This window comes from Homo sapiens, chromosome 2 (assembly GCF_000001405.40).
Source record: "Homo sapiens chromosome 2, GRCh38.p14 Primary Assembly".
In the NCBI taxonomy this organism is placed as follows: Eukaryota; Metazoa; Chordata; class Mammalia; order Primates; family Hominidae; genus Homo; species Homo sapiens.
This window is the reverse complement of record NC_000002.12, coordinates 16337893-16354688: the sequence shown is the minus strand read 5'-3', so window position 1 is coordinate 16354688 and position 16796 is coordinate 16337893. Positions and strand designations below refer to the sequence as shown.

The following is a 16796-nucleotide window of genomic DNA, read 5'->3' as shown; positions in this document are numbered from 1 at the left end:
AGATAACTGGGTACAAGAGCAATATAAAAATGTCAACTGCTGTTCTAAACACAACCTGAAACATAGAAAACACAAAGAAAAGACAATAAATTACAACTGTCAGAAGATGTTTCAGACCTCTATAATTTTTTTTAGTTTACTGAGATATTAAAGAAGATATATATAGAGAAATATATTTGTGAGTAGACTATTTATATGCTATCAGTTCTCCCCAATCAATCTATTGATTCAAATTGATTCAATGGAATTTAAATAAAAATTCCACCTAGGGTATTGTTAAATGAATTTTAATGAGATGATTATAAAATATATATGAAGGAGTTAAGTGCTAAAAGTAGTCTAACAAGGATACTTCTGAAAAAAAACAAGAATAAGGAACTTGCCTTACCAAACACCACCTTACTATGAAGCTGTAATAATTGGATCAGTCTGGTATTGATGGAAGGACAGCCACATTGACCAATGGAATAGAATAGAGAGCTCAGAAACAAACAAATGCATGTAAATAACTTTATGATGTCACAGAGGCACCATGTCCTACTAGAATGGAAAAGAGAAACTATTGGAGGATATAGGATACATGTACCAAAGTATCCATTACAGCAATGTTCTCATGGCAAAAACAATTAGAAGCAACCCAAATGCCTGTCAAAGGGAGAGTAAATGCAGTGTGATATATTCTCACACTTGTATATTATACAACAGTTATAAAAGAAACACAGAGAAGTGTAACAATATGTATTAATCTTGAAAATGTAAAGTTAAGTAAAAGAAGTAAATCTCAAAGGATTACATACAGTATAACATCCTTTTGGTAAAAATAAAAACAACTAAAGTGAATATGTTTGCATTTACACACAATTATATATAATGTGCACATCATATATAATCTGTATACACAATGGTGTTACATAAAGAGGCAATAACACTTTATAATAAAGGAAGCAAGTGAACTAACACAGGATCTCAGACATTGATTGCCTTGTGAGAGGGAACAAGGAGGCAGAAGGATGGGTTGGTTATAGTCAAGGTCTTAGCTTTTGTTTTAGATGGTGTTTTCAAGAATACTTGCTGCATTATTAAAAATAATTAGGCTGGGTGTGGTGGCTTACGCCTGTAATCCCAGCATTTTGGGAGGCCAAGGTGGGTGGATCACGAGGTCAGGAGATCGAGACCATCCTGGCTAACATTGTGAAACCCCGTCTCTACTAAAAATACAAAAAATTAGCTGGGTGTGGTGGTGGGCACCTCTAGTCCCAGCTACTCAGGAGGCTGAAGCAGGAGAATGGCGTGAGCCCAGGAGGCGGAGCTTGCAGTGAGCCGAGATAGTGCCACTGCACTCCAGCCTGGGCAACAGAGCAAGACTCCATCTCAAAAAAAAAGAAAAAGAAAAAAAGAAAATAATAATTAAGGTTAAGTAAATAAAAGTCACCAATAATTGACCAATAATTAGTGTATATCACGATTATAATTAATCCAAGTCTATGCAACCTGAGGTCCAATAAAATAAAACAATAAAATAAAGGGTAGACCATTGTAGAAATACGAGGCCATGTTAGTAGTACTAATCCTGTTGCAATTTTTCTTTAGAGACTTCCTTGGTCCCAGGGTCAGGATGGAGTGCCATGGTTATTTGCTTGTGTCCCCATCCAGTTCTTGTGGAAGCATTTTCAACTAGATAGTGAGCCATTCGTCTGGCCAAAGCAACAGTAACATCAGCTCCTCAGACTTCACAAGATGACAGAGCCCCATTCATTCCCAGATCTGAACTTCACATTGATCCTATTATTTTCCAGGCCTAGGGGTCACTTTCCAGCCCTTCTCTTGACCTAGGAACTTCTTATCATTCCCCTTCATCAAGTCAGTTAAACATCTCTGCATGTCAATTGCACCTGTGTTGGTCACTGGTTTTGTTTCAAGTGGTTCATTCCATGGATGGAGGACTCAGTTTCCCCAGCAGTCACAACTTAACGAAAATGGCAAATGAGTTAAACTGGCTAGATTTCACTCAAGAACAAAATTGATGGTCATGGTCTGACTTATCAGTTGTTCCCCTTTCAGTCAGTGATTTCCATGTGTATTAGTTTGTTCCCACATTGCTATAAAGACTACCTGAGGCTGGGTAATTTATGGAGAAAAATGGTTTAATTGACTCACAGTTCTGCAGACTGTTCAAAAGTCATCAGGAAACTTACAGTCGTGGCAGAAGGGTGAAAGGATGTCCTACCATGGTGGAGCACAAGAAAGAGAGCAAAGGGGGAAGTGCTATGCACTTTAAAAAAAAACAAATCTTATGAAAACTCACTTGCTATCATGAGAACAGCAAGAGGGAAATCTGCCCCCATGATCCAATCATCTCACACCAGGTTCCTCCCCCATCATTGGGAATTACAATTTGACATGAGATTTGGGTGGGGACACAAAGGCAAGCCATATTACTCAGGCTCTGGCCCCTCCCAAATCTCATGTTCTTCTCACATTTCAAAATATAATCATGCCTTTCCAACAGACCCTCAAAGTCTTAACTCATTCCAGCATTAACTCAAAAGTCCAAGTCCAAAGTCTCATCTGAGACAAGGTAAGTTCCTTCTGCCTATGAGTTTGTAAAATCACAAAAAAGTTAGTTACTGCCAAGACACAATGAGGGCACAGGCATTGGGTAAATGCCCCCATTCCAAAAGGGAGCAACTGGCTAAAACAAAGGGACTACAGGCTCCATACAAGTCCAAAAACCAGCAGGGCAGTCATTAAATCTTAAAGTTAAAAAATAATTTCCTTTAACTCCATGTCATGCATCCAGGCCACACCGATGCAAGCGGTGGGTTCCCAATGCCTTGAGCTGCTCCACCCCTGTGGCTCTGCAGGGTAAACCCCTGCAGCTGCTTTCATGGGCTGACATTGAGTGCCTGTAGCTTTTCCAGGTGCATGGTGCAAGCTGTCAATGGATCTGCCATTCTGGGGTCTGGAGGACAGTGGCTCTCTTCTCACAGCAATACTAGGCAGTGCCCCAGTGGGACTCTGTGTGGGGGCTCCAACCCCACATTTCCCCTCCACATTGCTCTAGTAGATGTTCTTGAGGTCTCTGCCCCTGCAGCAGACTTCTGCCTGGACATTTAGGCATTACCATACATTCTCTGAAATCTAGGCAGAGGCTCCCAAACCTCAACTCATGCCTTCTGCATACCCACAGGCCCAACACTACATAAAAGCCACCAAGGCTTGGAGCTTACAGCCTCTGAAGCAGTGAACTGAGCTGTATCTTGGCCCCTTTTAGCCACAGCTGGAAGTGGAGTGGCTGGAATGCAGGGCACCATGTCCAGAGGCTGCACAGGGCAGCAGGACTTTGGGCCTGGCCCATGAGGTCATTTTCCCCTCCTAGGCCTCCAGGCCTGTGATGGGAGGGGCTGCCTCCAAGGTCCCTGAAATGCCCTAGAGGCATTTTCCCTATTGTCTTGGCTATGAACATTTGGCTCCTCTTTATTAATGCAAATGTCTGCAGCCTTGAATTCCTCCTGAGAACATTTTTGTTGTTGTTGTTGTTGTTGTTTTTCTTATCACATGGTCAGGCTGCAAATTTTCCAAATATAAGTTCTAGTTTCAGGTAATTCATTTGTTTACGCAAATGAGCTTAGGCTTTTAGATGCAGCCAGGCCACATCTTGAACACTTTGCTGCTTAGAGATTTATTCTGCCAAATACCCTAAATTATCTCTCTCATGTTTAAAGTTCCATAGATCTCTAGAGCAGGGCACAACACCACCAGTCTCTTTGCTAAAGCATAGCAAGAGTGACCCCTTTACTCCAATTCCCAGTAAGTTTCTCATCTCCATTTGAGACCATCTCATGCTGGACTTCACTGTCTATATCACTATGAGCATTTTGATCACAACCATTTGACAAGTCTCTAGGAAGTTCCAAAGTTTCCCTCATCTTCCTGTCTTTTTTCTGAGCCCTCCAAACTGTTCCAACCTCTGCCCATTACCCAGTTCCAAAACCACTTTCATATTTTCAGGTATCTTTATAGCAATGCCCTGCTTCTCTAGTACCAATATTCTATATAGTCCATTCTCACTGGAAGCATGACTGAAAGGTCTCAGGAAACTTACAATCATGGCAGAAGGGTGAAGGGGAACCAAGCATGTCTTACCATAGCAGAGCAGGAGACACAGAGCAAGACAGAAGGTACTACACATTTTAAACAACCAGATCTCATGAGAACTCACTCATCGTCATGAGAACAGCAAGGGGAAAATCTGCCCCCATGATCCAATCACCTCCCATCATGCCCCTCCCCCAACATTGGGAATTACTATTCGACATGAGATTTGGGTGGAAACACAGACCCAAATCATATCTTGCCTTGGTGTAGAAGACACCATATGCAATGAATGTGCGGATTAGAAAAGGGGCCAGACTAGGAAAACCTCCCATGAATTGATCATTTTATTTCCTCACTTTTATTATAGCTTGCATTTCCTTCCCTACCTCCAGAGGTATGATTTTGAAAACTAAATCCAAAGAAAGACAAAAGCTATTGGTGGTTCCCACAGATGGCTGTTTCTCAAAGGGTTTACAAAATCTGACTGATTATCAGAGATGTCTGAGGAGGGCTGTCAATGCAAAACTGTGGTTCTCAAAGGGGTGATCCCTGGACCAGCAGTATCAGCAACACCTGGGAGCTTGTTATGAATGCAGATTCTCAGATGACAACTCAGACTCACTGAATCAGAAACGCTGGGGTTGGGTCCAGCCATCTGTAGTTTTATAGGCGATTTTAAAGAAAGGTAAAATTTGAGAGACCCTGAGAGCATCTCAGGTCCTGCTACTGAAGAGTTGGGAGGTCTATAGGGGCCCAAGTTTCAGAATGTTAACAAGATCCCCCTAGTAGATGCTAAAGACTACCAGATGGCCTCAAGAGTCTGAAGCCATTTGTCTTTCTTTCTAGGAATATAAATGACAAAGACACCACTAACTGAGGAGGATCTCTCCTCCTACCCTGCTCTATTTTCTGTCTTGTTGATCTCACTCTGGACTCAAGGCAGTTGAATCTGTTCCCCAAAAGTCTATTTCCCTGTGATGCTCTGGTGTTAACAGAGGATTGCACATAGTTTCTTGGTGGAAAAAAATGAATCAAATTTCTGCTTTTTCAGCCTAAATCATATATTCTTTTTAGATATCATTTTCCAATTATTAAAAACAAACTTTGCACAATTGTTCCAGATTTCTCACTTTGTCAGCAGGGGTTTCATGAAGATATTTATAAAAGCTTTGAGAATCATTAAGGCCATAGCCACCTGATCCAGGAAATACAACCTTGGGTTGGCCACAGGCTAAGTGAGCCCTGGTACACAGGTAGAGATCAAGGTTCCTTCGAGTTTGACTGTTTGCCTCAAACCCACATCCCATGCCCCTGCCCTGTCTGTCTTAGTCCTGAAAGCTACAGAAACAATACTACATCTTCAGACTAAGATTTGGTCTTTTGGTCTTAGAACTCTCCCTACAGCAACCCCTCTGCCTTTTCTTTTTTTACTGTAGTAAAATATACATAACATAAAATTTATCATTTTATTTATTTATTTATTTATTTATTTTGACACAGGGTCTCACTCTCTTGCTCAGGCTGGAGTGCAGTGGTGTGATCTCAGCTCACTGCAGCCTCGACCTCCCTGGACTCAGGTGATCCTCCCATCTTACCCTTCTGAGTAGCTGGGACTATGGGCATCTGCCACCATGCCCGGCTAATTTTTGTATTTCTTGCAGATGGGGTTTCACTATGTTGACCAGTTAGTCTCAAACTCCTGGGCTCAAATGATCTGCCCTCCTAAATTTACCATTTTAACCAGTTTTAAGTGTACAGTTCAATGGCATTAAGCACGTTCATATTGTTATGCAACCATCCCAACCATCTATCTTCAGAATTTTTTTATCCCAAATTGACATTCTGGACCCATTAAACACTCATTACCCCCTCCTCCCAGCTTCTGGTAAGCCCTAGTTTACTTTCCTTCTACATGAACTTGACTATTCTGGATATCTCTTATAAGAAGAATCATACACGCCAGGTACAGTAGCTCATGCCTGTAATCCCAGCACTTTGGCAGGCCTAGGCAGGTGGATCACTTGAAGTCAGGAGTTCAAGACCCACCTGGCCAATATGGTAAAACCCTGTCTCTACTAAAAATACAAAAATTAGCCAGGCATGGTGGCGGGCACCTGTAATCCCAGCTACTTGAGAGGTTGAGGCAGGAGAATCACTTGAGCCAGGGAGGCGAAGGTTGCAGTGAGCAGAGATCGTGCTATTATGTTCCAGCCTAGGAGACAGCGCGAGACTCTGACACAAAAAAAAAAAAAAAAAAAAAAATTATCATGCAATGTTTGCCCTTATGTGTTTGGCTTACTTCACTCATTTAGCATAATGTTCTTAAGGCTGATAGAAGCTGTAGCATGTATCAGAATTTTGTTCTTTCTTAAGGCTGAAAAATATTCCATGGCATATATATACCACATTTTTTAATCCTTTTATTTTGATAGACATATGAGTTATTTTCACTTTTTGTCTATTGTAAATAATCCTGCTATGCACATGGGTGTAAAAGTATCTGTTCTGCTACCTTCTTTCAGTTCTTTAGAGGTATATATGTAGAAGTGGGACCTCTGAATCATGTGGTAATTCTATGCTAATTTTTGAGGAACTGCTAGACTATTTTCCACAGTGCTGCACCATTTCACATTCCTGCCAGCAAGGCACAAAGGTTCTAATTTGTCCACATCCATGTCCACATCCATCTTGGGAGCATTTGTAAAAGGTATTTATTTCCTGGCAACAACTTAAGGAAGAAACAGTGTCTTGCTCTTGTCTGTCATGCTAGCAATGAGCACAGAGCCTCATACAGAGCAAGTTGAGTGTATGTTTTGCAGATTGACATGGATGGAGGGAGATAACACCCATTTAGTCTTTCTTTCATTAAATCCCTAGAAATCCCCGCGTGTGGGGCCTCCCTACTTTTTGTATTCCCATAGTAATTTAAACTCCTCTTAAACTACACATCACATTTTACTTTACTCAATTTTCAGAGTCATGGGACTTACATCTTATTTTTCTCTAAGACTATGAGTCTCTTAAGGGGAGAATATGAAGATAGGCTCTCCTTGAGTTGTTTACAACTTTCTCGTTCTTCATGACCTAAGTCTTCTTTCCCCAGAATACCTTTTTTAACCACTGGGCTCAGAGAACTTTTGCCCCACTGAGTAACAGTTTTTACTAAATTGGCCTGATCATTGACAGCCTCAATCAATATCAAATGCCTCAATGAATCAAAAACTAAAGGAATAAATGAGCAAACAAATAACCCATTTAACATAAATTATTCTCTAAGTTAACACAAGTTACTGACTACCCACCATGTGCTAGGTGCTTGGGAATATCAGAGGAATAACACACCATCCTTGCCCTTCAGAAAAACATCTAATATTATTTATCTCATTAATAGGAGGCTGTGTAGGTAACCATGAGATTGCAAAGAGACCAGACAGTGTCCCAAATAAGGGAATAAGATGCAAGGTATATAAAACTCTTCATGGAGTAGATACTTTTTGAGCTGAATCTTTAAAAAGCAGAGTTTTCCAAATATACAAAGCAGAGACTTTGCATTCCAAGCAAAAGGAATGGGAGGAGGAAAATACAAAACCGTAAAATAGACTGACCTTGTTAGAAGCCTACAAGTGGGGCAGCCCTGTTGAAGTGGAGAGGTGGAGAGTGAAAAGAATGTGTGGCAAGCTGTGACTTCCTTATCCAGACACATCTCATCCGGCTGATACACATACCCATATTCCTGTCACGTTGATCACTGTGTTCACCAAACATGCAATGTTTGCCCCTGCCTCTGTTTGTGTCAACCCCACCTTCCTACTTGGAATGCTTGTCCTCACTTCCTTTTTCTGGATCCATGAGTATCTAGTTTTGTGACCCACAAACCTAGATATGGTTTGATGAGTCAACTAATTATTCAGGACAGAGAGTGATCACTGAGAAAAAGAGGAGAATAAAAGTCAAAAGAGATTCTGAAGATTATGCAAACTACTTTGGTTTGCTCTAGGTTTGAGTTATCAGTGTTATGACTAGAGATTCATACAATGCTGAAGAGACAAAGAAATAATTCTAACACTTCCATTCAAGATGGTAGACTGAGCATATACACTACCTTCAGCTCCTTCCAGAAACTCCAGTAATGTGTCAATAAACTGATTTTTTTACAAGAACAAGAACAATCGGTGAAAAGGACAATTGCAACAAAATTTTGACAGCTATGGAGCAGTAGGACCGTGGATTAGTGGCTTGGCTGAGTCCAGAAAGCTGTATCCTAAGCCAGTGTTGGAGAAAGCTTCCAGAAACAGAAGAAATCTCAAAAGGTTCTGGAATTTGTGGCTCTATATACATCTAAAAGTGGAGATACAGGTGAAGTTAAAAACAGGAGAATCAATTAAAATTATATTTGATGCTGTAAAACCCTAGATTTCTTCCTTCACTTCGGCAGAAGAATAAAGACTTATTCTCTGTTGATTGCAAAACAGAGGCTCTCTTGGCATATGAAGAGAAGTATAGCTGAGAAGAAGAAAAAGTTGAACCCCCACCCCTAACCCTACCACCATTCAGCTCTCTTCTCTCACTTAGCCTCAGAAAGGGAAGCCACACTTACAAAGCTTAGCAGGAGTTTGGAAGAGCCTCCTTTGGGGAAGCTGACCAGTCCAAGAATAAACCTAGAGGCACTGACATGAAGGGTTCCTGCAACATAAAACTCAACAAGAGTTGCACTCTAAGAGCAACCCAAGTTGATAAGCCTTATGCTCCCCATACAAACACCAACAGCTACCAATGAACATTTTGGTGCCCCATTCTTAAAAATAATTGGAGAGCTCAGTGTCACTACTGTCTTGTACATTTCAGCTTTGATAAACTTTCAACATTTTGATCAGCTGTAGCCTCCTTCTGGCCTGATCAGATTTGCATAGCAAAGAAACATTTAAGCTACCAACTAGTCGGTACATACAGGCAAAGTGTCAATGTGATGAAATCAGTAGGCAGAAGCCATCTTTGCATTTGAGGTCGTCGTTAAGACCCTCTGTATCTTTTTTTTTTTTTTTTTTTTCGACACAGAGTCTCACTGTCACCAGGCTGGAGTCCAGTGGCACGATCTTGGCTCACTGCAACCTCCACCTCCCGGATTCAAGCAATTCTCCTGCCTCAGCCCCCCAAGTAGCTGAGATACAGGCACGCACCACCACCCCCAGCTGATTTTTGTATTTTTAGTGTGGATGGGTTTTCTCCATGTTGGCCAGGATGGTCTCGATCTTATTGACCTCAAGAGATCCACCTGCCTCAGCCTCCCGAAGTGCTGGGATTACAAGCGTGAGCCACTGTGCCTGGTTGACCCTCTGTATCTTAATGAGAATGGTGGTCTGAGAAGCCACAGAGCTGTAGTCTAGAAGCTGTGCTTTTGTGCAATCTCTAAAACAATATTTAATCTTTTTTATTTAAAAAAATGTTTATTGCTACATAGTATTTTAAATATTTATGGGGTACATGTGATATTTTGTTAGATAGAATGCATGCATAATGATCAGGTCAGGGTATTATGGTATGTATTACATTGATTATAATTTCTAGATGTTGGGAACATATCAAGTTCTCTCTTCTAAGAGCTACTTGAACTATACAATGCATTGTTGTTAACTATAGACACCCTATTCTGCTATCAAACATTAGAACTTATACCTTCTATCTGTCTGTATGTTTGTGCCTATTGGCCAACCTCTCTTCATTCCCCCGCTCACCCACACACCATTTGCAGCTTCTGATATTTATCATTCTATTCTCTACCTTCATGAGATCAAGTTTTCTAGCTCCCACATGTGAGTGATAACGTGTGAAATTTGTCTTTCTATGTCTGGCTTATTCCACTTACCACAATAACCTCCAGTTCCTGTAAATGACAGGATTTCATTCTTTTTTATGCCCAAATAATATTTCATTGTGTATATATGTCAAATTTTCTTTAGTAATTCATCCATTGATGAACATTCAGTTTGATTCATATTTTTGCTATTGTGAATAGTCCTACAATAAACATGCAAGTGCAGATATCCCTTTGATATGCTGATTTATTTTCCTTTGGAAATCCCAGTAGTGGTATTGCTGCATCATTTGGTAGTTCTATTTTTAGTTTTTGAGAAATCTCTATTTTGTTTTCCATAATGGTTGTACTAATTTATATTCCCATCAACAGTGCATAGGAGATCCCTTTTCTCTGTATCCTCATCAAAATCTGTAATTTTTTTTCTTATTAGTAATAGCCATTCTAACCAGAGTAAGATGATATCTCATTGTGGTTTTGATTTGCATTTCCCTGATAATTATGTTGAGAATTATTTCATATACATGTTAGCCATTTGTATGTCTTCTTTTGAAAAATGTCTATTAATGTCCTTTGCCCACTTTTTAATGGAATTACTTGTTTCTATACTATTGAGTGGTATTCTGGATATTAGTCTCTTGTTAGGTGAATGATTTGCAGATATTTTCTCCCATTCAACAAGTTTTTCATCATTCTACTGATTGTTTTCTTTGTTGCAAAGAAGACTTCTAATTTAACAGACTTCCATTTGCCTATTTTTGTTTTCATTGTCTGTGCTTTCAAGGTCTTAGTCATAAAATCTTTGTCTAAACCATTGTCCTGAATTGTTTTCTCTATGTTCTCTTCTAGTAGTTTTATAGTTTCAGATCTTACTAAGTCTTTAATCCATCTTTAGTTGATTTTTGTTTATGGTGAGAGATAGGGATCCAGTCTCATTCTTCTGCATACGGACATTCAATTTTTCCAGAGCTATTATTGAAGAGTGTGTCTTTACCCCAGTATATGTTCTTGACACCTTTATCAAAAAGCAGTCAGCTATAGATGCATGGAATTATTTCTAGATTCTCTATTCTGTCCATTGATCTGTGTGTCTGTTTTCATACCAATACCATTCTGTTTTGCCTTGTAGTATATTTTGGATAGTGTGATGCCTCCAGCTTTGTTCTCTCTTGTTCAGAATTGCTTTGGCTATTTGAGCACTTTTTTGATTCCATACTTATTTTGGGATTATTTTTTCTATTTCATGTAAAAAATGACATTGGTATTTTGATAAGAATTCCACTGAATCTGTAGATTGCTTCGGGCAGTATGGCCATTTTAATAATATTAATTCTTCTGATACATGAGCAGGGGATGTCTTTTTATTTGTTTATGTCCTCTACAATTTCTTTCATTCACGTTTTGTTATTTTTCATGTAGAGATGTTTTACACCCTTGGTTAAATTTATTCCTAGGCATTTTATTTTATTTTTGTAGCTATTGGAAATGCAATTGCCCTCGGCATTCCTTTCTCAGTTCAGTATGAATGTACAGAAATGCTACTAATTTTTGTATGTTGATTTGTATCCTGCAAGTTTACTGAATTTATTTATCAGACCTAAGAGTTGTTTGGTGGAGTCTTTAGTTTTTTTCTAGCTATAGGATCATATCGTCAACAAAGAGGTACAATTTGATTGCTTTTCCAGTTTGGATGCCTTGCCTTTTATTTCTTTCTCTTGCCTGATTGCTCTGGCTAGGACTTCCAGTACTATGTTGACTAGGAGTCACAAAAGTGGGCCATACAGTATGATGTTTTGTTAGCTTTGGATTTGCCATATATGGCCTTTTTGTTTTGAGGTATTTACCTTCTATGCCCCATTTGTTTACGGTTTTTATCACAAAGCGATGTTGAATTTTATCAAATACTTTTTCTACATCTTTTGAGAGGGTCATATGGTTTTTGTCCTTCATTCTGTTGATGTGATGTATCACATTTATTTCCCTATGTTGAACCATCCTTGCAACCCTGGAGAAAATTCCACTTGATCATGGCATATATATGTATATATATATATATATTTTTTGATGTGCTGTTGGATTCAGTGTGCTCAATTCTTGAGAATTGTTGCATCTATGTTCATTAGGGATAATGGCCTGCAGTTTTTTTCTTGTCATTGCATTCCTGTCTGGTTTGGGTGTTAGGGCAATGGTGGTCTTATAGAATGAGTAAAAGGGAGAATTACGTCCTCTTTCATTTTTTAGAATAGTTTGAGGACAATTCGTATTATTTCTTCTTTGAAAGTTTGGTAGGATTTAGCAGCTAAGTCATCTGGTCCTGCATTTTACTTTTGGGGGAGACTTTTTATTACAGATTCAATCTCATTATTTGTTATTGGTCTGTTCAGATTTCCTATTTCTTCCCAATTCAATCTTGGTAGATTGTATGTGTCCAGGACTTTATCTATTTCCTTTAGGTTTTCTAGGTTGTGCACATGCATTTGTTTGTGACAGTCTCTGATCATCATTTGTATTTCTGTGGTATCATTGCAATGTCTCCATTTTTATTTCTGATTTTGTTTACTTGGGTCTTTTCTCTCTTTGGTTAGTCTACCAAGTGGTTTATCAGCTTTGTTTATATTTTTAAGAAGGCAGCTTTTCGTTTTGTTGATGGTTTCGTTTAGATTGTTTTATAGTCTCTATTTCTTCAAGTTCTGCTCTGATCTTTTTGTTGTTGTTGTTCCTTCTATTAATTTTGGGTTTGGTATCTTCTTGCTTTGCTAGGCCCTTCGGTGCATTGTTGACGGTTTATTTACTTGAAATATTTCCACTTTTTTTATGTTGCCATTTATTGCTATAAAATTCTCTCTTGGGATTATTTTTGCTATATCCCATACATTTTGATATGCTATGTTGTGGTTTTCATTTGTTTCAAAAAAGGTTTTCAACATTGGTGCAAAAGTAATTGCAGTTTCGAACTGTGAATTTTAAATCATTATAACTAGGCTCAAACACATCTTTATTAAAGAAAATAGGAACCATTACAATCAACACGTTTTTGCAAACAATAAATAAGTTTGTTCCTTCCTGTAGCATAAAAATGCATGCTTCAGGATTCGATGAACTCTTGGGAAGCATTTTCTGCATTCTGCTGGTTGTGGAAGCATTTTATTTGCAAAAAGTCATTAGGATGCTTGAAGAAGGGGTTGTTGATTGGTGAGAGGTCAGGGGAATATGGCAGATGAGGCAAAACTTTGTAGCCTAATTTGTTCAACTTTTGAAGCATTGGTTGTGCAACGTGCTGTCAAGTGTTGTTGTGGAGAGTTGGGCCATTTCTGTTAACCAATGCAGGCTGCAGGCATTGCAATTTTCAGTGCATCTCATTGATTTGCTGAGCATACTTCTCAGATGTAATTGTTTCACTGGGATTCAGAAAGCTGTAGTGGATCAGACTGGCAGCAGACCACCAAACAGGGACCATTACTTTTTCTGGTGCAAATTTGGCTTTGGGAAGTGTTTTGGAGCTTCTTCTCAGTCTAACCACTGAGTTGGTCATAGCCAGTTACCGTATAAAAGCCACTTTTCATCGCACATCACAATCCGATCAAGAAATGGTTCATTGTTGTTGTACGGAACAAGAGAAGACAGCACTTCAAAATAAAGATTTTTAAAATCTTCAGTCAGTTCATGAGGCAACCATTTATGGAGCTTTCTCACCTTTCAAATTTGCTTCAAATGCCAAATGACCATAGAATGGTTGATGTTGAGTTCTTTGGCAACTTCTCGTGTAGTTGTAAGATGATTATCTTCTACGATTGCTCTCAATTGGTCATTGTCAACTTCCAGTGTCTGCCGCTGTGCTTTTCATCTTCAAGTCTCTCATCTCCTTTGAAAAACGTCTTGAACCATTACTGCACTGTATTTCATTAGCAGATAGTGGGCAAAATGTGTTGTTAATGTTGTGAGTTGTCGCCACTGCTTTACAACCCATTTTGAACTGAATAAAAAAATCATTCAAATTTACTTTTTGCCTAACATTATTTCCAGGGTTTAAAATAAACATAAAATAAACAGCAAGTAATAAGTCACTAGCAAAAAAACATAAAGCAAGAAGTACCCATTAAAATGATGTATAATACAACCAAATTTATTTAAGAATGTATTCCAATATCAAATAGCAAATTCCAACAATGCAAAAATTGCAATTACTTTTGCACTCACCTAATATATCCTCCTTAGTTTACTTCGTAACCCAATGGTCATTCAAAAGCATGTTGTTTAATTTCTATGTATTTGTACTTTTTCTAAAGTTCCTTTTGTATTGATTTTCAGTTTTATTCCATTGTAGTCTCAGAAGATACTTGGTATGACTTTGAGTTTTTAAAATTTTGTTAAGACTTGCTTTGTATTCTAACATACGGTCTATTCTGGAGAATGTTTTGTGTGTTGATGAGAATATGTATTCTGTAGCCATTGAATGAAATGTTATGTAAATGTCTTTTAGATCCATTTGGTCTAACGTGCAGTTTAAATCTGAAGTTTGTTGAATTTTTGTCTAGATGATCTGCCTAATACTGAAAGTGGGATGGTAAAGTCCTCAACTATTATTGCATTAGAGTCTATCTCTCTCTTTGGATCTAATAATATTTGTTTCACATATCTCAGCACTCTGATGTTGGGTGCATCTATGTTTAGAACTGTTATATCCTCTTGCTGAATTCATCCTTTTATCATTATATAATGACCTTCTTTATCTCTTTTTACTGCTTTTTGACTTAAAGTCTGTTTTATCTGATAAAAATATAGTTACTCCTACTCACTTTTAGTCTCCATTTGAATGGAATATCATTATCTATCCCTTAACTTTCAATACATATGTGTCTTTACAGGTGAGATGAGTTTCTTGTAGATAACATATAGTTGGGTCATGTTTTTTAATCCATTTAATCAGTCTATATCTTTTAAGTGCAAAGTTTAATCAGTTTACATTCATGGTTATTGCTGATATGTGAGGGCTTATTTCTGTCATTTTATTAAGTAATTTCTGGTTATTTTGTATATCTTTTGTTCCTCTCTCTTTCTCTCATATTGTTTATCATTGTGGTTTGGTAGTGTTCTGTAGTGGTAATATTTTAGTTTTTTCTCTTACTTGTTTATGAGCTTGTTGTGCCAGTGGTTTTTATATTTTCATGTCTTCATGATGGTAGTTATTGTTCTTTCACTTCCAAGTGTAGCACTCAATTAAGTATTTCTGGTAAGGTCAGTCTAGTGGTAATGATTTTCCTCAGCTTTTGCTTAGAGAATAAAAAAATTATTTATCATTCCCTTATAAAAGATAACTTTGCTGAGTATAGTATCCTGGGTTGCCAGGGTTTTTTTCTTTTTTTCAGCACTTTTAATATATCATCCCATCCTCTGCTGCCTGTGTTTTCTGCTGAGATATCTGCTGTTAGTCTCATGGGGGTTCCTTTATAAGTTGCTAGGGGCTTTTCTTTTGCTGTTTGTAAAAATTTACTTTGTCTTCGACTTGACAGTTTGACCATAATGTGCCATGGAGGAGATTTTTTTGAATTGTATTTATTTGAGAATCTTTGTGCCTCCTGTATCCAGATGTCTAATTTTTAAATAAACTTGGGAAGTTTTCATGTATTGTTTCATTAAATATGTTTTCTTACCCTTTCATTTTCTTTTTGTCTTCTGGGCCAAAAATTCAAATATGTGGTCATTTTACAGTGTCCCATATATAAATTTAAGCTTTGCTCATTCTTATGTACTCATTTTTATCTGACTGGATTTTGCAAAAAACCTATCTTCTAGTTCTAAGATTCTTTCTTCTGCTTGATCTAGTCTATTGTTGCAGCTCTTGAATGTATTTTGTATTTAAATTAATTAATTTTTTATGTACAGAATTTCTATTTGGTTATTTTTTATAATATCTATCTCTTTGGTAAATTTCTCATTCATATCATGAATTGCTTTTCTGACTTTTTTGTATTGCTTTTCAGATTTCATAAATTTCTTTTTGATTGTTATCTGTTGCTAGAGAATTCTTGTGTTCCTTTGGAGGTGTCATAGTTCCTTGTTTTTTTATGTTTCCTGTGTCCTTATGTTGATATCTGCACATCTAGCATAACAGTCTCTTCTTCCAATTTTTTAATTTGATTTTTTGGGGAAGGACATTTTCCTGAAGATGTATCTGTGGAGTTGGTTGAGTATGGTACTTTGGCTTTGATTCTGGGATTGTGCAGTAGTGTAGTCTCTGTATGATTTCTTTGGCTAAAAACAGCATCAGTGGTATCTGTGATTTCCTCAGTGGCTTAGGGTGCAGTTGTTAGTGGAGGCAGTGGTGAAGTTCTGCTGGGGACTGAGACACCATGTGGGCCAGTCTTCAGGGCCCATTGATGGCAGCAGCAGGCTGAGCATGCCTATCCTTGGGCACCAGGGTTGTATATGCTGGCATGTGTTAGCCAGTCCAGGAAGTCTGATTATTGGCCTTCAAGGTGGCTTGCTCAGGTGCCAGGAATGACAGTGGTGGGCTGGGCAGGTGGATTATTGAGCCCCTGGGCAGCAGGTGTGGCATGGGCAATCACAGTAGCAGTGGTGGGACAATCTTTGGGACCCAAGAGATCCCTGCTGTTTTTGATGATGGCTACAATGGGCTGGATGGGCCAGTCCCCAGGTCTGCAGGTGGCACATGCAGATGAGTGGCAGCTGTGGTGGTAGTAACAGGTTCAGGGGGTTCAACCTCAAATACCAGAAGGACTGCTCAGGTGTCAACAGTGGTAGGCTAGATTGGGTGATACCCACCCCCCTGGATGGTGTGCTCAGGTACTCAAGTTTCAGTCTTTGAGGATGAACCTCCTACAGTCATGTGTTGCTTAACAACAGGAATATGGTCTGATAAATGCAT

General features: G+C 38.5%; 1 annotated feature.

Annotated features, from left to right (window-relative positions):
- Window positions 16324-16487: a silencer, noted in NCBI's record as "fragment chr2:16519470-16519633 (GRCh37/hg19 assembly coordinates)". NCBI's record gives its function as "represses an EF-1alpha promoter that drives an FKBP-Casp9 reporter gene in an ReSE screen in HepG2 liver carcinoma cells {active_cell/tissue: HepG2}" and the evidence as "EXISTENCE:reporter gene assay evidence [ECO:0000049][PMID:32094911]".